Raw genomic sequence first — 26,013 nt, forward strand, 5'->3', positions numbered from 1 at the left:
ATTTTTCTTTTTCTGAAAAAACTGTCACTAGGATTGCATTGAATCATTGAATCTATATCTCACTCTAGGCAGTATTGCTATCTTAAATATTAATTCTTCTAATCCATGAACATAGAATGTCTTTTTATTTATTTATGTATTCTTTAATTTCTTTCAGCTCTTTTATGTAGTTTGTATTGTACAAGTCTTTCACTTCCTTGGTTAAATTAGTTTTTAAGTATTTTATTCTTTTTGATGCTATTGTAGATGAAATTGTTTTCTTAATTTTCTTTTCAGGCTGTTCATTATTAGTGAATATAAATGCAACTAGTTTTTGCATGCTGACTTTGAATCCTGCTACTTTGTTGAATCCATTTATGAGTTGTGTGTGTGTGTGTGTGTGTGTAATTTTTAGGGGTTTCTACATATAAGATTATATCATCTGTGAACAGAGATTTTCTACTTCTTCCTTTTCAATTTGGATGCCTTGTGTTTTTTTGTTTTTTTTTTTTTGCCTAACTACTCTAGCTAAGACTTCTAGTACCATGTTGAGTAGAAGTGATGAAAGCAGACTTGCTTTGTTCCTGATCTTTGAGGAAAAGCTTTCAGTCTTTCACCATTACATATGATGTTTTCTATAGGTTTTTCATAAACAACTTTTATTATGTTGAGGTGGTTTTCCTATATGGCTGGTTTGTTGAGTATTGTTATCATGAAAGGATATGGAATTTTTTCAAATACTTTTTCTGTACCTAATGAGATTATCATTTTTTTATTCCATTAATGTGATGTAACACATTTATTGATTTTTATATATTGAACCATCCTTGCATTCCAGAAATAAATCTCACTTATTTATGGTGTGTAATCCTGTTAATATGCTGTGGAATTTGGCTTACTAATATTTTGTGGAGAGTTTTTGCATCAAAGTTCATAAGGGATATTGGTCTGCAGTTTTCTTGCCTTGCAATGTCTTTGTCAGGCTTTGGTATCAGGGCAATATTGGCCTCATAGAATAAGTTACAAAGTACTCCTTCCTCTTCAATTCCTTGGAAAACTTTGAGATGTATTGATATTAGTTCCTCTTTAAATGTTTGGTAGAATTCACTGCTGAAGCCAACTCTGGGGCTTTTCTTTGAGTGTGTTGGTTAACTACTACAAATTTGTAAATTTTCCAGTTTTCTGCTATTATTTATTTCCAAGTTCATCCCATGTTGGTTGAAGAAGGTACATTGTATGACATCTATCTTTTCGAATTCACTGAGACTTAGTTTGTGGCCTAACATATGGTCTATCCTGGAAGATGTCCCATGTGCTCTTGAAAATAATGTGTATTCTGTTGTTGTTGGGTAGATTATTCTGTATATGTTTGTTCAATATAGTTGGTTTATTATGCTGTCACATCCTCTATACTCTTACTTAACTTCTGTCTGTTTGTTCTGTCCGTTATTGAGAATGAGGTGTTAAAGTCTCCAACAATTATTGTAAAACTGTTCATTTCTCCCTTTAATTTTGTCAATTTTTCTTCATATATTTTGATTATCTGTTATTATCTGTTATCTGTACATACCTGTTATTAGGTACATGTACATAAAGGGTTATGATTATTAGATCTTTTTTGCCTAATCAAAATTTTGTTAATGTATAATATCCTTGTCTGTTACACACCTTTTAAAATTTAGAGTCTATTTTGTCTAACTTCATTCTGCCAATATCTGTCTTCCAATTGGAGAGATTGATTCATTTACATTTAAAGTAATTACCATTAATCAACTCCTCATTATCCTCCATTACCCACTACACTTTCTAGCATCTTGTAACCACTATTCTATTCTCTAAGTTCATGTGATCAAATTTTTTATCTCCCATATACGAGTGAGAACACGTGATATTTGTCTTTCTGTGCCTGGCTTATTTCACTTGCCATAATATTTTCCAGTTTCATCCATGTTGTTGCAATTGACTTTTAAATTGATCTTGTATTCAGCAACTTTGCTAAAAAAAACTTTATTGTTAACCATAATTTTTGTGTAATTTGTTTTAGTTTTTCAATGAAATCAATTACATCAGTAGCAAATAATGCTAATATTGTCTCTTCCTTTTCGGTACTTAATCTGTCATTACTTTTTCGAGTTCATTATTATTCTGGCTACAAACTCTGGTATAGTGTTGAGTAAAAAAGGTGAGAGCAGGCAAATTTACCTTGTTTGTGATTTTCAAGGGTATTTTACCACTAAGTAAGACATTTGCTGTGGGCTTCTGATAGATATTCTTTGTATAATGATTAAGTTTTCCTCTATTTCTAGCATACACACACACACACACACAGACACACACACACACACACACACACACAGAGGGATTGAGAGAGAGAGAGGCTAATGAATGGTAGTGGATTTTAAACAAACTTTTTCCTGCATCAGTTGAGATGATTATATAATATACAGCATTCTCCTCTGTTTGTTGTTAATATGATGAATTTAAACCTGAGTATGATTGTACTTATATACTACTGAATTTTGTTTAATATTTTGTTTAATACTGTCTTTAGTAATAAGTGAAATTGAAATATAATTTTTCTTTTTCTGTTCTTGTCTAGTTTTGACATATACGTTTTCAAGTGAATTGGGAAGTTATCCTTTTTTCTATTGTCAGAAAAAAATCTAGTAAGCTTAAAATTGTCTGTTTCCTGAATGCTTGATAAAAGGTCACCTGTTAAAATCTTTTGAGTCTGTTTTTTTCTTTGTAAAAGGATTTTTGATTACTAATTATATTTCTTTAGTGGAAATAAGAGTATTCCTTTATTCCTAACTGCGATTTAATATCATACTGTGTATTATCATTTTGGGAGTTTATATTTCTCTGTTTCTCTTTTCCTATATCACCAAATCACATATTGAGATGAATAAACATGACTTTCCACACAAGAGAAAAAATATATGAAAAGTGCAAACCTTTCTAAAATTAAGATTTAGGTAAATTTTTGTTATGCTTATCCAACAAATGTTAGTTTTCTGTTTTGTCATATAACTTCCTTCCTTTAAGGATTAAGTTATTTATTTTCTTGTTTCCTATATTATTTTTCCCTATTTATTGACAGTAACATTCCTTGACAGTGCAATGATAATTGGTGCTCATAAATGGAAAAGCCAAGCATTGAAAGTCTTTGAAGCATTTCTTAAATTAAGATAGATTAATAAATAGAGTGGATTGGGATTAACTATGCTATTATATCAGTTTATGATAATTATTAAATAATAGTTATTAATTAAAAAATTAAGAATATACTTGAAAAGAGATTAATAAAGTAAAAATTAAACATAATTTTTAAAAATGAATTTCTACTATATTTTAAATATAAAGCTCATTTAAATCTTTTTTTTTTTTTTTTTTTTTTTTTTTTTGAGACGGAGTCTTGCTCTGTCACCCAGGCTGGAGTGCAGTGGCACGATCTTGGCTCACTGCAAGCTCTGCCTCCAGCTTATTTAAATCTTAAATAAGTCAACAAGAAATCAGGGCTTCTAAAATATCTGGTGTTAAAGGACTCAAAAGTACTCCCAGTTCCCTTGGCTCTACCCTTATAAGTTCTAGAAAGACAGGATGGGAACCCAACCTGTCTATGACAGTAATTAAGTTTTTGTCTACTAAACATCTTCAATATGACAGAGATAAACAAAGAAGTGCAGTCTAGAAATAAATGTGAGAAAATTATGAGAAAGAACAAAATTTTGTCCTTGCCAGGGACACTTTATGTCCTTTATTATATTCATAATTTCATTATTTCCCCAAACTTTTGATTACAATCTGGTTTGTTAAAATTTTGTTTGGGGAGGAGGAACAATCAGTTATGGCCTGGGAGACTGATTTGCTGAGGCTCCAGTTCTGTCATGAATATGTGTTTGTTCTTCCTGTGTGGGTTTCCTGTAAGTATACCAGCACAGTAGCATTATAAGTTATTTGTCACTTTTCTAATTTTCTGAAAATAGCTCAAGTATGCTTTCTCCAAGAGATGTGAAAGAACAACACATGCCTGAATTTAGGGTAGAAGAAACTTACTGTGGGAGAGTCCAGTGCACTAGCTTGAGAATCAGAAGTTAGACTCCAATAAAAATTTTGCTAGTAATTACCTCTGAGACTGAATAAATTATTTTACGTTCAATCATCTCATTTACTTAATTTGTAAAAAGGAAGGTTGGATTTGACAATTCCTGATCCTCTTATAGTTAAAATAATTTCAGTAGTTTCAAAGGCAGATCTTCCTAAACTTATGCCATTAGCAAATGTGTACTTAAATTTCTAAAAGTTGTGAAAACTGACAAATATTCAAAACTAAAATTTGAAGTGATAGGAAAAATATTCTAACTATGAAACTATTGAAGGTTTGAAAACCATTTGGCTGACATGTCTCGTTTATTCAGTTACACAATCTAAACAGTCTACTCAAATCTCGTAAATTCTCATGGTTTGCAGGATGAAGAAGAATGAAATTTTATGGATTTGTATTTTACTAGAATAGTACTTTGGAAGCATATAGTTGATAATGATGTATTTGTTTTCATTTTTCTAAATTATAGGGTGGCTTCACTCGTAAATATTCGCTTAGCTCAAAAACTGGAACACTTCTTCCAGAATTCCCCAGCGCTCAACACCTTGTATACCAAGGATGCATTTCTAAGGACAAGGTATCAATTACAGATACTTCTCTATTGATTTTCTGATATGTTGGCTCCATATGTCAATTTGCTGGGAATTTCATGGTACTGCAGGAAGCAATCAGAAATCTGCATAATCAAACATAATTGACTGATTTATAGGAGAGGCAAACTTTTGTTAACATTGATTAACACTTCCAATTAATTATTTACCATCTCCATGATAGTGTGTAATCAGAAGGTGGTAAAATAAACCTTAAAAGACTAAACATTATTTTTTATTTAAAGCTCTATTGAAGAAGAAAATACTAGAATGTGGCTGTCACATACACTTTCTTCAGTTAAAAGTTTTATGTTTTCAATTATCTCCATTTTATTTCAGCAAATGGTCATCAAGCATTTCTCTAGGACAGAATCTGTCCCTAGCACTGAGGGACATGCTAGATGAATGCAAGAACTATGCTAGATGAGCATGAACTTTCCTTACTTCTAAAATTCTGTGTTCTCTTATATTTGCATTTTTTAAAGTTAAGAAAGAATCATTTTCATTGGGATTCAGTTTATAAATAATTCTCAATATGACTTTTCAATGTTTATGTAATAGCGTGTAAACTATATCTTCGATTTCTGTACTTCTAAAGTCATTTGTCGGGGATCTGTTGGCTGTTTAGTAGCAGAGACCATTATTAAATTAGAGCATAATTATTTCTACATTTTTGTTTCAACCAAAGTACATGTTTCATTAGCATTTGAAGAAGACATCTCTTACAGTATATTGAGTTAGTTCGTATTTCTGAGGTACAAAGATAGAGGAATATGATTAATGTCCAGATGCTTTACTTTAGTAATGGGCTTTTTGTAGAAATGAGGTAAAGATAGCACATTGATTTAAAAAAAATTTATTGGCATATAAGTAGAGATGCATAGTAACTTACAGGGCTCATTTTGATGACAGCCATACTCTGTTAGTTAAGAATAGGCAAAGTATTCTTTAGAAAGAATGAAAACATGTCTTTTGCAGCAACATGGATGCAGCTGGAGGCCATTAACATAAGCAAATTAATGCAGGAGAAGAAAACTAAATACTACATGTTCTCACTTATAAGTGAGAGCTAAACACTGGGTATTTCTAGTCATAAAATGGCAACAGTAGACACTGGAGACTACTGCTGGGGAAGGGGGAAGAGGGAAATGGGTTGAAAAACTAACTATTGGGTACTACGCTCAGTATCTGGGTAATTGGATCATTCGTATTCCAAACCTCAGCATCTCTTGGTATACTTACGTAACAAACATGCATATGTACCCTCTAAATCTAAAATACAAGTTGGAAAAAAAAAAGTAAAATATACCCTTAAAAAAAAGAAGAGGCAAATGAAGATAATTCTCAAATGCCAAATCCAAGGGAGTCTCTCAAACTATGTTCACTTCTGACTGTTCTCTCCCATTACATTTCTCAAGGTTATCACATAATTTTTACCTTATAGATGTAATGTGTGATATGATGACTTTATATTTGAGAATCCCCCAGTAAATGTTAACATGTGGCAGTTTGTGAGGATTCCTGTGGAAATCAGGAGGATCTCAGTCTTCTGAGGGAGGGTATTATTGGGTTACTTTTGTGGAGAGGATTGCTTCCATGCAAACTTATCATGAAGATGTTTATGGTGTAAATATACCTGGTGAGAGAGAGAGGGGGACCAAAAAGGCAAGCAACAAAGAAGAAAGGAGAGGTGAGAAACAGGCTCCAATAGTTTACCTCAATAGTTTGCTGGGAATTTCATGTTTCTCTGCTGGCCTCCAAGGAAGTTCATACCTGCCAATTTGAAAGACTGGTCTGTAGATCATTTCTCAGGTATCAAGGTGCTTTTATAACCCTTGGTTTCTAAGTTCATTCCCAGTGGACTCCATCATGAAAGCCAGGGACTGACACTCTTTTTTGAGGACAATTTAGCTCTGTCACCTTCCTTGCCATTAGCCAGGCTCCTCAGGTAACTTATCAGTTCCTAGAAAGTGCGGTGGGGCTAAAATCAAGCACTTAAGGTACCTGCTTCTTTTTCTTTTTTCTTTTGAGACAGACCCTCCCTCTGTTGCCCAGGCTGGAGTGCAGTGGCGCCATCTCGGCTCACGGCAACCTTTGCCTCCCTGGTTCAGTGATTCTCTTGCCTCAGCTTCTGTAGCTGGGATTACAAGTGCCTGCCGACATGCCTGGCTAACTTTTGTGTTTTTAGTAGAGACGGGATTTCCCTATGCTGGCCAGGCTTGTCTCGAACTCCTGACCTCAAGTAATCCACCTGCCTCAGCCTCCCAAAGCATTGAGATTACAGGCGTAAGCCACCGCGCCCAGCCAGCACTTGCTTCTTTAAGGCCGAAAGAATGGAAACTGCCCAGTGAAAAGCTGACCCCAGTGAGGGTACTGAGAAGCTGGGGGCCTGCTACTCATAGTGTCTCTCGAGGCAGTTGTCTCCCCCACCACGTGCTCACTGTCTTTAGTGGAGCTAAGCCTTGCCTCTGCTCCTGCCCACTCTAGTACAATGTCTATTCTCAGAAAATTGACTAAGATTATGTTTATAAAGAATGCAAAGTACACTGGAATTAAAATTCATTGCGCTAAGACTATGTAAGTATTAAATAAACAAATTAAGTATTATGCTAATTGTGAGTTTTAAAAATTTTGATGATTTGTATATAAAGCAATAAATTTTGTAACAAGTAGAAATACTTGTGAAGATAAAGGCTTACTTGTACTTTAATAGGTTTCAGGGCTCAAAGGATTAATTTTGAAAGAATTTATTGATATGGAATAGATGTACATATTTTGGGGGCACATGTGATAATATGCTTATATAATTTGTACGGATAAATCAGTGTAATTGGGTTACTGATCACCTTAAATATTTATCTTCTCTTTTTGCTAAAGACATTTGAATTGTTCTCTTCTAGCTACTTTGAATATGCAATAGATTATTGTAAGCTATAATCACCCTACAGATCTATCCAACACCAGATCTTATTTCTTCTATCAAATTGTGTATTTGTACCCATTAATCAACTTCTCATTATTTTCCTCTCCCCCTCCTCTTTCCGACCTCTGGTAACCACCAGTCTACTCGCTACCTTCATGAGATCCACTTGTTTAGGTCCCACATATGAGTGAGATCATGTGATATTTGTCTTTCTCTGCTTGGCTTATTCTACTTAACATAATGCCCTCCAGTTCCATCCATGTTGCTGCATATGACAGGGTTTTATTTTTTATGGATGAATAATATTCCCTTGTGTATATACCACATTTTCTTTATCCATTCATCCATTGATGAGCACTTAGGTTGATTCCATATGTTGGCTATTGTGAATAGTGCTGCCATAAACATGGGAGAGCAGATATCTCTCTTTGATATATTGATTTCCTTTTTCTGGATATATACAGAAAGGGTTAATTTTTGACAACAGTTATGACTTCCCTTCCATCTTTCGTGTGTTACTCATCCTCATTTTAAACATATGACTTGGAATAATCTGAAAATATAATAGCATTGCCTGAAATATAGAGCAATTCTCATTTGCATTGATGGTAACATATCCTGCTAGAGGTATTCTATAGTCAGCACAGCTCCTTCAGATGGATCAATAATGTTCATATCATGGTTCTACAGCTCTAAGCTAAACCACAAAGATATGTGTATTGGGTTGTGGGAATAAAGGGAAATGCAAAGGGTTAGGATAGGACACCTCCATCACCACCACCACTCTAGATGCTATTGGAATCAAAATAGCTGACATCCATCAGTTTCTTAATATGTACTATGGATTATTCCAAACACTTTATATTTGTTAATTCATTTAGTCTTCCTAGCAACCCTATTTTATAGCTACTGTTATTATCATGTCAATTTTAGATATGAGGAAATTAAAGCACATAAATATCAAGTAGTGTGCCTAATGTTACATAACTAGTAATAACTAGTAAGTGGCAAATTAGAGCTGCGATTGAAATCCAGGTAATCTGAAGGCAAAGCTCACACATTCAACCTCCAAACATTGCTTTTTTTCACGTAGAGTACATAACTGGCAACAGGTAGGGAAATTTCTAACATGTAAAATAAAAGTTTTAGTTTGAATGTTATTAAGTGGCCAGAATATTATCTAGTTCTAGCCTATTGCAAATTTTAGAATATATTTAAAACTTTTAAACTATGCTATGCAAATATCCATGGTAACTTGAAAAGAGAGACTTTTCATAATAGACATTCAATGTTTGAAACTTTTTTTTGGAAAATGCATCATTTGATATTATTACTAACTCTGGATAATGTTTAGTAAGGTCTTACTGGGTGCCAGGCACTGTTCCATATGTGTCACATCCTATTTTATTTGATTTTCTTAACACCATGTAAGTAATATGTTATTACTACCTACTTAAAAAGCTTGGGAGCTCAGAGACAAAGCCACTTTTGCAGTCATACCTGGTAAGTAGTGCAGTGAAGGTGGGCACCCAAGTTGAGCTGACTCCAGAGACAAAATTTGAAACCATTATGCCATACTGCTCCAAGCATCCACTTCATAAAACTGTGTGAAGATTTGATGTATTTTACTACTTTATGTTTATTTATCCAAATCTTTGTTACTACTTTTACTACTTTATGTTTATTTACCCAAAAATTAATTTTAAAAAATTTAAATTTAAATTAAAAATTAAATTTTAAAATTTAATATTTTAGTAGGCATAAAACTAGGATGTTACTTTGGTCCATAGTACTCTGAAAAATTACCTTTTTCATATTATACTGTAGTTGTCCATTTGTTTGCTTTTCTCCCTTCACAAGGCAGTAAGATCCTTGAAATAAGAATTTTGCCTTAATTTTTGAGTCCTCAACATTGAGCATACTGCTTGGTACGTAATAGGATCTTTTAAAAAATCTGTGTTGAACAAATTAACAAGAAAAGGCAGTGTTAAAAGGATGCTTTGGTTAAGCTTTTTCTTCCTTGAAATAGGTTGATACGCTCATAATGATGTACAAAACTCACTGCCAGTGTATCCTGGACAATGCAATTAATGGAAACTTTGAAGAGGTAAGAATGACAAAGAATGCTTTATTTGACCCTATTATATATACTTTCATGTTCTGTTCTTAATGAGTTCATGTTAAAGAAAAAAATCTTAACATACTTTTTACTCTGCAACTAGATCCAGCATTTTTTATTACACTTTTGGCAAGGAATGCCTGACCATCTCCTTCCCCTGCTCGAAAATCCTGTTATCATTGATATTTTCTGTGTTTGTGACTCAATTCTTTATAAGGTAAGCACTTTGGGATGTCTTAAACATGAGCCATTTATTTCTTTACGTAGCATTCTATCTAAATTCTTGCAATATATTTTCAGTAAATATGTTATTTATGGCTGGATATACACTGTCTTTTTTTTTGATGAGAAAGCAAGCAATTTAATAGTGCACGTTTAATAGTGTATGTGTTTTAATTGAAGTTTACATTAAGTAAAACAAACTCAATTTCTTTTTACAGCTAATAATGAGTCTATATGTGACACACTTATTAATATGTGAAAACTTAGTTAAATTTTATTAACTCTCTAAGGTGTTTTCAGATTAAAATAACACAGTGGATTTTTTTTCACAATGCCAGTGTTTTGGCAGAAAGCAGAATTAGGCACCCTTATGAGATTAATAACTTGAAAATCTCAAAAACCTCTAACTTTAATGCATTAATGTCTAATTCTCTTCTCAAACCAAATCAGAGTTCCTAAGTGTCTGCAGAAGGATCTCGAAGACATCCTAAATAAGGACAAACTGATTGTCCTTCTAGGCAAACATTTAATGGAAGACAGAAAGAGGCTAATTCTTGACAGTCTCTTCCCTGGTGGCTACAAGTTCTAAGCTGATGGATAAAACTATATTGCAATGTGGGTACTTTAAAGTGAGTTTGCCTACATTTGCTTTCTAACTTACCATAAGGAAAAACAAAAGCTTTCCTTTTAAAAAATAATCTGAGTTGGCAAGAAAACCCAAGCTGGACGCTGTTAAACATTTAGGAAATAAAATCCTTCTAAGTTAGTTGCCACTATCAGATTCTCAGCTTTGCAGAAAAGTAAAGCAAAAGCTATTTATAGATAAACTAAGTCCAGAAGCCCCTAAGCAGACCAAGAAGTAATGAGACAACTTGAATAAGAGAGTGCATATTTTTATCCTCTGTCCAGTACTTCCTCATCACAGGATAGGAGAAAGGAGGAATAAAGTACAATATATTTTCTGCCTTTAGTTCAAGTTCAAGTTGAAAAAATTTCAGAGGAGAGTAAGGATTGTCTTGTTTTTTTTTTTTTTTCTGGATTGAATATGAATGCCATTATTTAGAGAAAAACAGTTTAATTTGCATTAATTGTTTGTAATGCTTAACACTTGACAAGGCTCCCAAAAGGGGAGGGGAGGCAGCTCCGTGAGTGAGTATAAGAAAAGACCTGGGGCTCATGCACACAAATTTCCATCAGACCAAAGCTTTTTGGACTGTCATTCAGTTTGTCCAAGAAATACTTTTAAAACACACTTCTCCCTTTAAGTGATCTGTTTTTTTTAGTCTAGTATAAACATCCTGACTTTAAATATCTTTAAATGAACCTGGTTTCTCCTCCTCATGGTGGACCCAGAGAGGCACAGTGAGCTCTGTAAGTAGAACGGTGTAAGATGAGCTTCTACAAAAATCTTCCTCCCACCTCTAGAAAGTGGTCAGCTTTTCATCATAAAACGGTATATGATTACCATGGACCAATCCATTGGTAATTAACATACTGAGCATGTACATATACAGTGCTATCTCTTGTTTTTATTGTCATACACACTCACACACAACTCATACATACATTCATTTTGGAGATAAAATTATAACTTTGAGAAAGGAGTTAACATGTTATTCTCTAGGAAGCTAGGAATAAAAAGTAGTTGACCAATAATATGTCTTTCTATAGAAATACTAAGTAAAGATTTGTATTAACCTCTTTTGCTATGATTAAGGTTCTTACAGATGTACTCATTCCTGCAACAATGCAAGAAATGCCTGAAAGGTATGTTCAGTTAATAAAACATGAGCATTCCTAGTATAGGATTTAACTTTATACATTATATTAGAAGAAAACATTAGGTAGTAATTTATTCATTTATCAAGAAGACTATTTTCTACTTTTGTCCCTTTGTATTTGCTGGAAGAGATGTGTCTTATAGCTGGGCCTCAATAAACAAAATGGGTGAAACAATCCTTCAATCCCTTTAATTTGAGAGCGGCTAAAGTGAAAAATAGATTTAAGCACTGTTGATCTTCGAGAAATTTTTCAATGGAAACTAGCTGGAGTATGATAAAAAAGATAATTAATGGAAAATAACCACAAGAATAAAAACTATAGGAGAAATTATTGTATTTTATTATTAACTTTTGTCTTAATTACAAAATCAGAAAGTGGCATGATGAAATTACTGCCTTCTTTTAACAAAGGAATAAAATCTCAAATAGTTTATTGAAACAATACCAGAAGATTTTTCAAAAAAAAAAAACCTTTTCAATATAAGAACAATAGAATTCTGAAAAAAAAAAGCCAACTTTTTCTCTGAAAACAAAATCTAATGAAATGATAAAATTTATTTTAGTATTTTGGGGGTACAAATTCATATAGGACTGGACATAGTTGGTGCTCCAAAAATAGATGTTGCTTGGTAAAACAAATTTTACTTTTTATTTACCTTTTCCTCCAGATTATTTCATCTATATGATAGTTGGTATTAGCCTGATCAATAATGTCTTTTAATTATCAATTGTAGTCTTTAAATATCTATTCTGTACTCTGAATTGGGTACTTGAAGTGGAGTTTGAAGAGCTTGAGTGTTTTGACCAAGATGATAACAAAACATCTCATGTACCCCATAAATATATACACCTCCTATGCACCCACAAACATTTTAAAAATATAGCATAAGAAAAGATGATAAATGGCAGATCTAGGCTGTCTGACTTCAAAAGTACTGCTTATGAAACCATAGAATAATAGTATACCTCAATTAAAATATGATTGTTTAATGCATTTTTTAACAATGAAGCATTTAACACATAGCCTTCTTTGTAGCTTATTAGCAGACATAAGAAATTTTGCTAAAAATTGGGAACAGTGGGTTGTTTCATCCTTGGAAAACTTGCCAGAAGCTCTAACTGACAAGAAAATACCTATTGTGCGAAGATTTGTATCTTCTCTGAAACGACAAACATCTTTCTTACATCTTGCCCAGGTATGTTGGTTGCTAAGTCGAGAGCATTTGAGTCACCATATAAAAAATGAATCTTCTGAGAAGGACAGATTGAGGAACTTTCATAGATTGAAGGGAGCTAAGTAGACAACAACTAAATGCAACGTGAGACCCAGAAGTGAATGCTATGATAGAAAAAGCACATTAGTGGGAAAGCTGGTGAAATTTGAATTATGTCTGTAGTTAATAGTATTGTACCAATGTTAATTTCATAATTTGGGTAATATACAATAGTTACAGAAGATGATAAGAAGCTGGATGGAGAGTATATGGAAATATTCTGCACTATCTTTGCAACTTCTCTGTGATTGGAAATTTAAAAAACTTGAATGCAATTAAACATTTATTTGCCATGTGAATCTAATTGGTACAAATTAAGGTTGTGAGAAGTAAGCCTGTGTGATACTTAATATTGTGAAACCACAAACTCAACACATTTTAAACTGCCGACTAATCATGGCTCTTTTAAATAGAGCAAAAGTAATTCATAAGTTAAGAATGATGCATTTGTATATTGTTAAAATATATTTCTCTTTCCCCAAAATGATTATCTGCTTTATGAAGGTTTCTTGCCTTCTAAATTTTAAAAGACAAGCTTGAGATGATTTCAGATAGGAAATGTAACATTTAAAAATTCTTATTTTGTGATCATGGACAAAGAGAATCCATTTATATTTTCTTTTTCTATTTTTTATTATACTTTAAGTTTTAGGGTACATGTGCACATCGTGCAGGTTTGTTACATATGTATACATGTGCCCTGTTGGTGTGTTGCACCCATTAACTCATCATTTACATTAGGTGTATCTCCTATAATTTTCAGACTTTTAACAGAGATGATCATGAGTCTCAGCTACTGCTTTTGTCTTTAAAATAAGAAAAAAGTTATTTATGATACTTTTATCTCAAGGAACTATTTTTCTGATAGCTAAAAATTTCTTCTAGATACATTAGAAATGATATAGTGTAGTGTCTTCTTTACTTTCTCTATGCAGATTGCCAGACCAGCTCTCTTTGACCAGCATGTCGTTAATTCTATGGTGTCTGATATTGAAAGGGTTGATTTGAACAGCATTGGCTCTCAAGCCCTTCTTACCATTTCAGGCAGCACAGACACTGAATCTGGTATCTACACTGAACGTAAGTCCATTCTCTTTGTTTAGAACAAGGTTTTCTAAGCTCAGAAAATTGACATCTTGAGCTGGGTAACTCTGTTGGAGGAGCCTGTCCAGTGTGCTGTAGGATGTTTAGCAGCATCCTTGACCTTTACCCATTAGATGACAGTAGCAGCCTCCCCCAAGCTGAGACAACCAAAAATGTTTCCCCACATTGTCAAAGGTGTTCTGGGCTGAAAAATCACATCTGATTGAAAAAAAACCTGGTTTATAAAAATATTTTTAATTAAAAAAATTTATCTTCTAATAAAAAATAGTTATAATTACTCACCATGGAAAAGATAGAAAATATTGAGGAAAATAAAAGTCATCTGTAATTTCATTACCTAGAAATAAATGAAATGGAAATAATCTGAAAATAATCAAATTGTTTTGAGTTTTGTAAGTTTTCTTTCAGTTTTACATTACATGTATAGAAATTTACATGTGTTTTATAGTCTTGTCATCCTGTGGTGTGTGATAAATATCAAAATGGTATCTCAGCACAATACTGCTTTTCAAAGCAGACTCTCTACTCAGGTTTGGACCATCTGAGAGAGCTTACCAAGCCAATATGCATGGCTAGACAACTAGGCTTGAATTTCAAGGGATAACAGCCACTATTTTTTCCTCCCTCTGTCTTTGAAAAGACAAAACCTGCAGCCTCCTATACACTGGAGCACAAACTATGGACTGCTCTCTGGGGCCCAATCTCAACTCCACTTTTTATTTCCTAACATAAAATAGGATTACCTTTTGAGATTCAGTAAACCTTAAAACCTTTAATAAAAGGATAGTCTTAAACTGCCCTTTTAAATATTACATGATAAAACGTTATTCAGGTAAATGGCTCAATTCTGCTGAGAAGAAATTAACTTTTACTAAAGATAAAAGATATTTTGGAAAGCAGGAAATCACCAAGCTTAGGTTCATTCATTCACTTTTAACTAATCTGTTCCGTTTAATGAAAACACTAGACTCAAAATGAATATTTAACTACATAAACAACTTAATCTTCCCTAGTATGTGAATACACATATAAGATTTAAACCTATATTTCAATATATACCAAGATATATACACTTATTAAAATTTCGGGCACACTTCAAGAGGCTGAGGTGGGAAGATTGCTTGATCCCAGGAGTTCAAGGCCAGCCTGGGCAACACAGCAAGACCTTGCTCTATAATTTTTTTTTTTTTTTAATTTAGGCAGGCTTGTTGGTGCGTGCCTGGAGTCCCAACTGCTTGGGAGGCTGAGGCAGGAGGGTCACTTGAGCCCAGGAGTTTGAGGCTGCAGTAAGCCATGATCACGTCATTGCACTCCAGCCTGGGCAACAAAGCAAGATCCTGTCTCTCTCTCTCTCACACACACACCATTGAAGAGTACAGTACTAAGGATTTTTTTGTTACTGTTTTCAAGATATGATATTAATTCTTTTCACACATTTATCTGTCTTTCCCTTTCATGCTATCAAAGTATTGATGATTCCAAGTTTTAGGTTTTCTCTTGGATTCCAAGTAGAGTACAATATTCTGTTTTCTTTTCTTTCTTTTTTTTTTTTTTCCTGGGTAGATGACTCTATCACTGTGTTCCAAGAACTGAAGGATCTCCTTAAGAAGAATGCCACTGTGGAGGCTTTTATTGAATGGTTGGATACTGTGGTAGAACAGAGAGTTATTAAGGTACTTTTTAATGACAGATTCAGAAAATAAGTTCCTTGTAAAGAGTAAATGCTAAACTGGCTATAATTTTTTGTCTGGGGGGAGAGGGGTGGAAGGCTGTGTGTGTAAAGGCTTTGAAAAGCTTTTGATGCTCTACGAATAAGGCAGGCCAAATACTGAAATTAGGAATATGTCAAGATTTGAGAGCATTGGGCATGGATTCCATTATATTTCTCCTTTCTTGCCGAAAGACTACAAGATGCTCTGCCTTCCCTATCAGTCAATAACATTACAGCTGAGTAACATCAGTAGAGAAAGATAAACTTAGAAACTGGAATGATCTGGCCCGTTTCTAAAAAGCAAGATTTCATAAATGCTGATGGAAAACATGGTTCTAAGCATTTGCATTTCTGAATTCCAAAAGCTCAATATTTTGTGTTTTCTCTGTGGTTTCTTCACCTTCTTTGGTTAACCTAGTCACCCATTGTGAAACAAGCAATAAGAACAAATATATCCATCACTAGTTGGTGTTGGCCATTCCATATCAAGGAGACTAGTTATAGTTTGGAGACTTTTTTCCTTCTGTAAGGAAAATAGATTATCATTCAGTACCAAAGAAGTCAGAGTTAATCATTCACAAAAATATATAGCCCTTCCTTCACACCTCACCTTCTGTTCTTTTTAAAGCTCTGTCAAAGAAAAATTAAAAAATAAAAATATTTTGAAAATTATTTCATTTTGTTGTCTAATTCTATTAGGAAACAAAGCCATATTGAATAAAGACTTATTACCCTTAAAACATCAGCAAAGACAGGCTAACATTAAATTCCCTGGACAGATAGTTTTATTTGATGAAATAAATGCCATGCCATCTGTCCATTTGTTAGACAGTCTATTTACTTCTTGATCTAACACAGGATGCATGTAGTACTGAGAGGACGGATTTTATAGTTTCATTTTGTTCCTTTACTTTTAGACCAGCAAACAAAATGGAAGGTCATTAAAGAAGAGAGCTCAAGACTTTCTGTTAAAGTGGAGTTTTTTTGGTGCTCGAGTAATGCATAATCTCACCTTGAACAATGCATCCAGTTTTGGTAACATACGTGCATTATAAAACTGTTCTTACATGAATTATATAATTTGTTCCTCAGTCACAGTTCCTGTCAATTTTTAAACATGTTACATCATCACTTCTTAAACTGTATCTGAATATGGAGCTATGAGAAAATGGTATTTATGAGCCTGGGTTTTGGAGTCAGACCATAAGCAGGATTAAATCCTAACAATGATTGTCTCTGGCTATGGGCCAATCTGCTCATTGAAGAAGGGGAAGAATATTCTCTTCGAAGGGTTGTATAGGTACTTTGGTGAGATGATGTATATAAAAACAAATTGCCTAGCACTCAGGAAATGCTTAATGCATAGCAGCTATTATCATTACATTCCATCAGTGCTTGGATAAATTTTCTTTGTTAAACAAATGATAATTAAGACATTATTTTCCAAAGTTATTATTCATTGCAATACGGCAAATTTCTGCAGCTTTTCTGAGCACCCATATAACTGCACTCCAGGAATCAAAAAACAGCTTAGAAGACACACTGTCATGTTTCTGACCCATCTTTCCTGTTCTATATGACTTGGGAGACAAATAGGGTTAAGTTAGCTTTTTATAAAATTGAATGCCTTCTTTTTCCTTAGAATTCCTGAGACTCCTATTTTATAGTTATAATGTTAACTCATGAGTAGTAACTCTGCATTTGGTAGCTGCATTTCAGGAAATCTTCACATTATGAAAGAGATTACAATTAACTAAATTGTTTTTATTTAATGTTCTATAGAATTAAATAAAATCAGTGAATTTGTATTGAAGAATAAACAAAACACATTGTCTATTATTTGAAATAGACTTCCCATATTTAAAGTTTTATAAAATATACAGCATTGAAGCCTGGCCTTACTACGAAAAATACTTTTGTTGGAAAATCTATTGAATAGTTAAAAGAAGTTTTAGTTTTCCAGAACATATTTCACTTGAAAATTACTCTTTTAGTTTTTGCCAAATCTAAGAATATTTTGTTTCAGGCTAGAAAGATATCTCTTTACTTGACTTTTTTCAGACCATGTTGGCCATTGTCTAATTATTTAGTACAAAGTAAACAGAAATAGAGCAGAGTAGAGCTCATTCTCCCCAAGTTGAAGCTTATCACACTCCAATGTGTGCCCTCTTAAAGCATAAAGCATGTCTCACTTTCATCCGTATTTTCCTTTGATGTAATTAGTGGCCAAAGAGCTGGCAGGACAGTACACACAGTGAGCAGGGCAGGCAATACACAGAAAGATTAGAGATCCAAGTTAAGCATGTTGGTCTTAGCAGGTCATTTAAAGTCCAACAAGTATTTGTTTATTTCAGTTGCTCCTTGTAAAGTGTTGCGAGATGGTCACAAAGATAACTGACTTCTCTTTCCCTTTCCTTCTCTTTCTCTCCCCTTTTTACATTTCACACTGTCCTCTCCTCATTCTCCATCCATAAACAAGGTTCTTTTCATTTGATTCGAATGCTTCTCGATGAATACATTCTCCTGGCCATGGAGACCCAGTTTAATAATGACAAAGAGCAGGAGTTACAGAATTTATTGGACAAGTATATGAAGAATTCAGGTAACTTAAAATAACTGTTTTGTTTTGCATATTTCTTTGTTTTAATCTTAAGTTCAAGAATTTATAAGTTCAGATATTAAGTGGGTTTATCATAATCTCAGAGTTTTTCTCCAAACATGTCATTACTAATTCTCACCATACAGTCACACTATTGGAGCACTACTTTTCTTTCATTCATTGCTATGTAGTCAAAAGTACTTTACTGGAAACTCTGAAGTATACAAAATTGGTGATCTTAATTTCTGGGAATTAAGGTGAAGTTGGAGAAGTGACTATAATACAAAAAATAACTGTAATTCAAGACACATGTGGTATACTACATATGTAAGTGGTGTAAAAATAAGTTCTATAGGAGTTTAGAGAAGGAAGGAAACACATCTATTCAGGATAGGGCAACTTGCATTTTGAAGACTTCACTCCAAACTGGATTATTTAGTGCTCCTTATCTACATCCACATCCGCAAATATGCAGCTAAAAAAAACCTAGCATCACTGTCAAGAGCAAAGGTCTGCCAACCTCACTTCCCATGGGAAACATTGCTTAGTAGTTTCCAGATTAAATACTCAACAATGAAACATTTTCATTTTCTTTTTACTTGGGTTTATCTACGAGGAATGTGAGAAAAAATCTCAAATTTCCCATTTTAAAAACTCTTTCCAGATGCGAGTAAAGCTGCTTTCACTGCTTCTCCGAGTTCATGCTTTCTGGCCAACCGTAATAAAGGGAGCATGGTTTCCAGCGACGCTGTGAAGAATGAAAGCCACGTGGAGACAACCTATCTCCCTCTGCCATCCAGTCAACCTGGAGGCCTAGGCCCTGCTCTGCACCAGTTCCCTGCTGGGAACACAGACAACATGCCGCTCACAGGTACGCTAAAGAGAACTGCTTAGGCTCCAGCACATCTCAGAGAAGCCTGTTGCTTCATTTTTCTTAAAACTCATAACTTCCAGTCCAGGAATTCCAACAATAAAAAAGGATGATCTTAACTGAGTTTTAATAAAGATTTATAATATTTTTGTGATTTTCAGCAATGGTAATAATACTGTTATTAACACAGGTATCATGTCTTGACACACTCCATAAATTATATTAGAAGTATGAATAATTAGTTAATTTAGTGGAAGAAATAATTAGATGAGGTATACATAAAATTCTTAAGATGCTTTGAAGATCAAAAAAATGGGTTGCTTATTTCTGGATTTTGAGGAGACTTTATTTCTCCTCCCTTAAAAAGTAGTTTCGGGCTGGGTATGGTGGCTCATGCCTGTAATCTCAGCATTTTGGGAGGCCGAGGCGAGCAGAGCACCTGAGGTCAGGAGTTTGAGACCAGCCTGCCCAACATGGCAAAACCCCGTCTCTACTAAACATACAAAAAATTAGCCGGGCTTGGTGGCAGGCGCCTGTACTCTCTCTTGAACCCAGGAGGCGGACCTTGCAGTGAGCTGAGATCAGGCCATTACACTCCAGCTGGGTGACGAGAGTGAAGCTCCATATCAAAAAAGCAAACAAACAAACAAAAAAACTGGATTCGGCCATTTTAGGATAATCGTTACAATAATTCTCCCTTTTGGTCTAAGGTTCTCTTTGTGTCAACATGAATATTTGGTGGCTTGAACTAGCTACTCGGGAATATTTTAAATCTGCTTATTGCCTTGTGTCTTTTTTGAAATCTTTTTATATACATTACTTCATTTGATATACAGAATTTTAAACCTAGAAGAGCCTTATAGTTCAGGAGTCCATTTCTACCAATGGAACACTGGCGGCCCAGAGAGTTGGTGGCATTCATAAATCACATTACTTATAAGAGGTGTTTGCATGACATTTTGAATTGACTGCTTTGAAGCCATGGCCATTTTGACATTAGTGACTTTTTCTTTTTACCCTAAAAATCAAACAGTTTAACAATCAGCTAATTTTTTAATTATGGGGAAATATGAGCAGCAGACACACATGTCCTCCCCATGCTACCTGTGGAGAAACCATGAAGCCATCGCAGACTTTCCTCTGTAGTCACCAAATCCACGTCTCCACTGTTGTGATATATACATGTGTTGTGATTATATTTTTTAAATTCTGGATTTTTGGTGCTTTTCAGTTTAGTTATTTTTGGAGGGCAGGAATGAAGCAAGCTGGAAAACAATACATTAATAAATCTTTTGAATATTTTTTAAAGATGTGAGCTCATCTACTTTAATATGACACTAAAGGAATGTTCTGGTGATTTTTTCCAGGTCAAATGGAGCTTTCACAGATTGCTGGTCATCTGATGACACCACCCATTTCTCCAGCCATGGCAAGCCGAGGAAGTGTCATTAACCAAGGACCAATGGCAGGGAGGCCCCCAAGTGTGGGCCCAGTACTGTCAGCTCCATCACACTGCTCCACATACCCAGAGCCCATTTATCCCACTCTCCCTCAAGCCAATCATGACTTTTATAGCACCAGCTCTAACTACCAGACTGTGTTTAGGGCACAGCCCCACTCCACATCAGGACTCTATCCTCATCACACCGAGCATGGTCGATGCATGGCTTGGACTGAACAGCAGCTTTCAAGAGACTTCTTCAGTGGCAGCTGTGCGGGGTCTCCATATAACTCCCGGCCACCGTCTAGCTATGGCCCATCCCTGCAAGCCCAGGATTCACACAATATGCAGTTTTTAAATACAGGAAGCTTCAATTTCTTGAGCAACACAGGAGCTGCCAGCTGCCAAGGAGCAACACTGCCTCCTAATTCACCAAATGGTATTGATATTTAAAAGAATTTTTCTTGGTTTTTGAGATGGCAATGAGGCAAAATCAGACATTGCGTTCCACCTCTGCTGACTAGCATGTCCTTTCATTTAAGGCTTCCAAAGATCATGGAATCTTAGACATTTGGAGCTGATTTCTGTCACATACATATATATTTCCTAATTTTTGTGGCTTTCCTAAAGTTGCCCTTCTTCCTTTTTTTTTTTTTTTTTTTGAGACAAGGTCTTATGCTGTAGCCCAGGCTGGAGTGCTTGGCAGGATCATGATTCACTGCAGCCTCAAACCCCTAGCTCAAGCAATCCTCCTATCTCAGCTTCCCAAGTAGCTGGGACTACAGGCATGCATCACCATCCCTGTCTATATTTTAAATTTTTTCTAGAGACAAAGTCTCACTATGTTTGCCCAGGCTGGTCTCAAACTACCAACTTTAAGCAATCCTCTCTCCTTGGCTTCCCAAAATGCTGAGGTGCCTCCCAAAGGTGTGAGCCAACACCCCCGGCCTAAAGCTGTCCTCCTAAATACCGCATATGTTAAAAAAAAAAAAAAGATAGTTAAATCATATGTTTGAGACCTACCTTAATAGCCCCAAAGAAGAATGTTCTGTCTTTTGAAAACATTTTTAGTGGATAATATTTCTTCCTGATAACTAAAAGCAGATTTTAAAGATTGGGAACAAAACAGACCAATAAAAATAGGAAGTTAAGGGAATTAGAGAGACCTGTGACCTTGAGTCACCAAAATAGGCTTTGTGTGTAGGCTTCTTTGGTGTCTTTCTCCTAAGTGTAGGCCAGTCTTTGTCTTCCCTAAACATGCATCTATACATGAAAGTAGTATTTTTGTGACAGGCGATAGTGCTTTTTTTCCTTCAAAGGTAGATCTTGTTAATTTAGATAAGGGAAATCTGACAGAAGTGTAATCTGGTCTTAAAGTTAATACAATTCTTATGTCTTAAATTATGTATTATGCTATAATTATTGTATTAAATTATGTATGATGCTACAATTCTTATGTGTTAAAAAACACAAAAAACAGCACAGTAAACCTTATCCATGTACAAGCACAAATCCAGTTCTGTAGCATGTATAGATACACATGTAATACTTACAGTTTGATATCTTTAGGACGTCACCTCATTACTTTGTCACTTTTTTCCTTCCTGAAAGTTCTTTGTAGTAAGTTAACAGCAAATTCTCAACATTTTCTGTTACAGGATACTATGGAAGCAACATAAACTACCCAGAGTCTCACAGGCTCGGATCAATGGTGAATCAGCACGTTTCTGTCATCAGCAGCATTCGTTCACTGCCCCCCTACAGTGACATCCACGATCCACTTAACATTTTAGATGACAGTGGTAGAAAACAGACCAGCTCGTTTTACACAGACACATCATCTCCAGTTGCATGTCGAACTCCAGTCCTAGGTAAATTATTTTAGCAGTTCTTGAAAACATTTTAAGAAGTTGTTAACCTCAGGTATGCAACATTACTTGAGGGAGATATGCTGAGGTGAACTGAGCAAGCATGTTTCCACGGTTGATTTATTACCTTGGATCTAAAGTTATATTTTTTGTATCTGACTACACAGTTAGTAACAGTTTTTCATTTCTTATTCTGTATATCTCTATTATGCAACCTACTGCTAGATCTGTTACTTTTTACAAAAAAAATAGCTGGTATCTATTAAGTATGCAAAAGATTAATATGACCTGTCAAATGCAGTCTAAAACTGTAAGTTTTAAAAGGGCAGTAATAATATCCTTTTCTCACTCTTGATTAGTGTTGGACCCAGTTGTAGTGCCAAGAGATATCTTTAGGCCTCATGATCTCCATCAGTATCCAAAAATCACTCCAAGATTAAAAAAAACTGGTGTCCTGTGATGGGTGCTACTAGCATTTTCTCATTCTTATGTAAAATGTGATTCAACACCTCTGTAGAAAATGTTGCCATTTTTATTGCTCTCTAACATATCATGTAAGTAAAAATAAGAAAAACGTGTGCTTGCCGTGAAGCCTCCTGGAATCTTCTTCCAACCAGGTTACATTTCTTAATCCTCATCTATGAAGAAATTCTGCAATAATAATTAGTATGTTATTAGTAATAACATAGATTTAGTCACTATAGATTTAGTTTCTAAAAATACTAATAAGATTTCACAGGGCAAGTATATATTCACTAAGTATCAAAGCAGAGTGTTAATATTTATATGAGATGGTTAAAGTCTTCCAATGAGATTGATTTCAGACTAGCATAAGTAGAGGGCATTGACACGCAACCAGAGCATAAGGGAAAATGAAATCAATTTCATCTCTCCTCACTCAGTGTACCTTCCCAATAATTCAATAGGAAGTACTCCTTCTCTTCCTGTCACTGTCACACATGCTCCCTGAGCAGAATCTAGCAGCTCATCTTCTGCTATCTGCAAATGGTCATTGCTTCTAGGTTACTCTAATGAAGCAGAAAATTCCACTTCAGGAAGTTTTCTCACCATGAGACTAAAATGTACTGTGTTGCTATTGTTACTATTAGTTCTGTTTACCTGAAGAGATAGTGGAAGCTTTGACGAAACATAGGTTAAGAGTAGGGTGGAGTCTAAGCTTTAGTTTATCAGAGCTGGCTTACAAGTAGATTACAAAGTGTGCTGCAGGGTAAAATGAGGGGATAGAATAAGTGGATAAGTAGTGCAAGGAGAATTGAGTTCAACTATTTCTTAAGTATAAAGCCTGGTTCTTAGACAGAGAGCACGTCATGTCAGCAATAAGAAGGCAGCAACCATATATGAGAGAAATACAGGGCTAGTGAGCCAGTTAATGAATTTTATTGAGAACCGACTAGGAGCCAGACCCCATTCTAGATGTGAGGATATGGTGGTGATCAGGCCATAGTTCTTGCCTGTAAGAAGTTTACATTCTAGTAGAGGGACAGTAAGGCAATAAATACATGAGCAAATGCATTAAAAAGATAATGTCAAGTACTCTGAACCTGATTAAATAGAGTAAAATGACAGACAGTAAAGGAGGAGCTGCTTTCGGTAGGACAGCTGAGAAAGGAATCCTGAGGCAGAAACATTTGAGTTGAAAGCTGAGTGATGAGAAGGAGGCAAAGATGTGAAGATCTGAGGGAGGAGTTCCAGGCAGAAGAAACAGTGAATGCAGAACCGCTGAAATCAGAATAAATTTGAAAAAATCAATGGGCAGAGAGCAGGCCAGTGTGTCTTAAGCATGTTGAATGAAGGAGAGAGTAGAGCAAAATAAATAAAAAATCAGGGGCCCATCTACATAGGGTAAGATGCTTGGTTCATGTTCCAAGGGTATCGGAAGCCACTATGGCATTTGAGACGAGTGAAAGTTTGATCTACTCTTCAGCAATATCATTCTGGTTGCTCTCGGGAAGGTGAGTGGGTGAAACAAAGGTGGAGATCATGGGACCAGTCAGGAGGCTGCTGTGTTGGTCCAGGAGAGAAAAGATGGTGGTTTGAACTACAACCGTGAAAGTGCAGATGGAAAGAGGAGGTTGATTGGGGGATATATTTTGGCGGTAGCACTTAAGTTGAAATGGAGTTTTCTTTGTGAAATATGTAGAGGAAATAATTTCTGGGAGACTAGCAAGTGGGAACAAATGGAAGAAAAAATGATTGCTCTGGTAAACCATACAGACTCAAATTTAGAATAGGTATGTGTGCTAAGTGCAAAAATAAATACAGGGTATTAAAATGAGTGGCATTTGCAGAGAAAAGAAAATGTCAATCAATTTTCAATTGCTGATTATATTTTCCCTTACAGCTTCCAGTTTGCAAACCCCAATTCCTTCTTCCTCATCCCAATGTATGTATGGAACTTCCAACCAGTATCCAGCTCAAGAAACCCTGGACTCCCATGGAACAAGCAGTAGAGAAATGGTGTCCTCTTTACCACCTATCAACACTGTGTTCATGGGAACAGCAGCTGGAGGCACTTAAACCACCAATGTGGGAGGGGGTGCTAAAACTTTAAAAAAAATCTCTACTGTGCAAATATCATTATTCACTCAGACTTCCATAAGAGTAAATAAAAATGAATATGCAGTGGCTGACATTGTTTTAAAGTCACTGGTACTATGGACAACTCCATAGTGAATGGAGATACTTGCAGAGCTTGTCATGCACACTAAGAGTTTAAAATGTGAGCTCATTATTAATCATAGTTTCAAAATTATCAAATAAAACCAGTGAAGATCTGAAGATGCAAACATTTCAACTATGAAGATTTACATTTCACTTTCTAATTTATTAAACATCTGTGTGCCTTTTTATCTTTGGTTTCTTTTAAAAAGTATATTTAATGCCTTTACAATACCTTTAATTTATTAGGATCTCAGAATCATTGTTTACTATCCCTTATTTGACAAAAAGTCAAATGTGTATGTTCTACCTCCAACGGAAATGTTTACAAGGTCAAGACTTAATTCAATTCAGACAAGACCAAAGTTGCTTGACTTCAATTCCTGTGCATTAGTGTGATGATTTCTGTCACATAGCAGCATTCCGATTCTATGTAACTGAATGGAGATGATAAGTGCTTTCCCCTCTTTATTTAAAAAAGATTAAAAGGAATAAAAGAAATAATGTATGGAAATATTTTTAAAGGCTTGGTGCTCTTGGGGCTGGTACTGTTTCTGAAGAATGCTGGGGATTTACTCTTTAATCTCAGCTCCTTTGGAAATGAGATTAAGGAGTCAAGTAGTGTGGTTAAACACTATAATTTAAAAACATTTGCATATCATATCCATGCCTATACATATAAAGAAATTGTGAATTGTAGACTATTTGAACCTTTTCAGATTTAGAAGCAGTCTTTTACCAAGTACT

The 26,013-nt window shown here is 34.9% G+C and overlaps 1 protein-coding gene across 3 annotated transcripts in view, besides 1 other annotated feature; it reads left to right on the forward strand.

Annotated features, from left to right (window-relative positions):
• RFX6 (regulatory factor X6) overlaps positions 1–25,780 on the forward strand; it is a 54,920-nt gene extending 29,140 nt beyond the window's left edge. For 2 of the 3 annotated variants that reach the window (NM_173560.4, XM_017010477.2), the window contains 13 exons: positions 4,554–4,661; positions 9,627–9,704; positions 9,820–9,933; positions 11,656–11,705; positions 12,756–12,915; positions 13,929–14,073; positions 15,661–15,770; positions 16,726–16,843; positions 18,288–18,410; positions 19,072–19,278; positions 20,646–21,158; positions 22,378–22,590; positions 24,950–25,780. In NM_173560.4, the coding sequence (NP_775831.2) occupies positions 4,554–4,661; positions 9,627–9,704; positions 9,820–9,933; positions 11,656–11,705; positions 12,756–12,915; positions 13,929–14,073; positions 15,661–15,770; positions 16,726–16,843; positions 18,288–18,410; positions 19,072–19,278; positions 20,646–21,158; positions 22,378–22,590; positions 24,950–25,125 (2,115 nt within the window). In that variant the 3' untranslated portion in view covers positions 25,126–25,780. The remainder of the gene's footprint in view (positions 1–4,553; positions 4,662–9,626; positions 9,705–9,819; positions 9,934–11,655; positions 11,706–12,755; positions 12,916–13,928; positions 14,074–15,660; positions 15,771–16,725; positions 16,844–18,287; positions 18,411–19,071; positions 19,279–20,645; positions 21,159–22,377; positions 22,591–24,949) is intronic. The other variant, XM_011535589.2, reaches the window with a different exon arrangement.
• Positions 18,603–19,802: an enhancer, noted in NCBI's record as "BRD4-independent group 4 enhancer chr6:117246147-117247346 (GRCh37/hg19 assembly coordinates)". NCBI's record gives its function as "activates an origin of replication core promoter dependent on BRD2, P300/CBP, MED14 and CDK7 cofactors, and independent of BRD4, by STARR-seq in HCT116 cells {active_cell/tissue: HCT116}" and the evidence as "EXISTENCE:reporter gene assay evidence [ECO:0000049][PMID:35650434]".

This window comes from Homo sapiens, chromosome 6, assembly GCF_000001405.40.
Source record: "Homo sapiens chromosome 6, GRCh38.p14 Primary Assembly".
Lineage (NCBI taxonomy): Eukaryota > Metazoa > Chordata > Mammalia > Primates > Hominidae > Homo > Homo sapiens.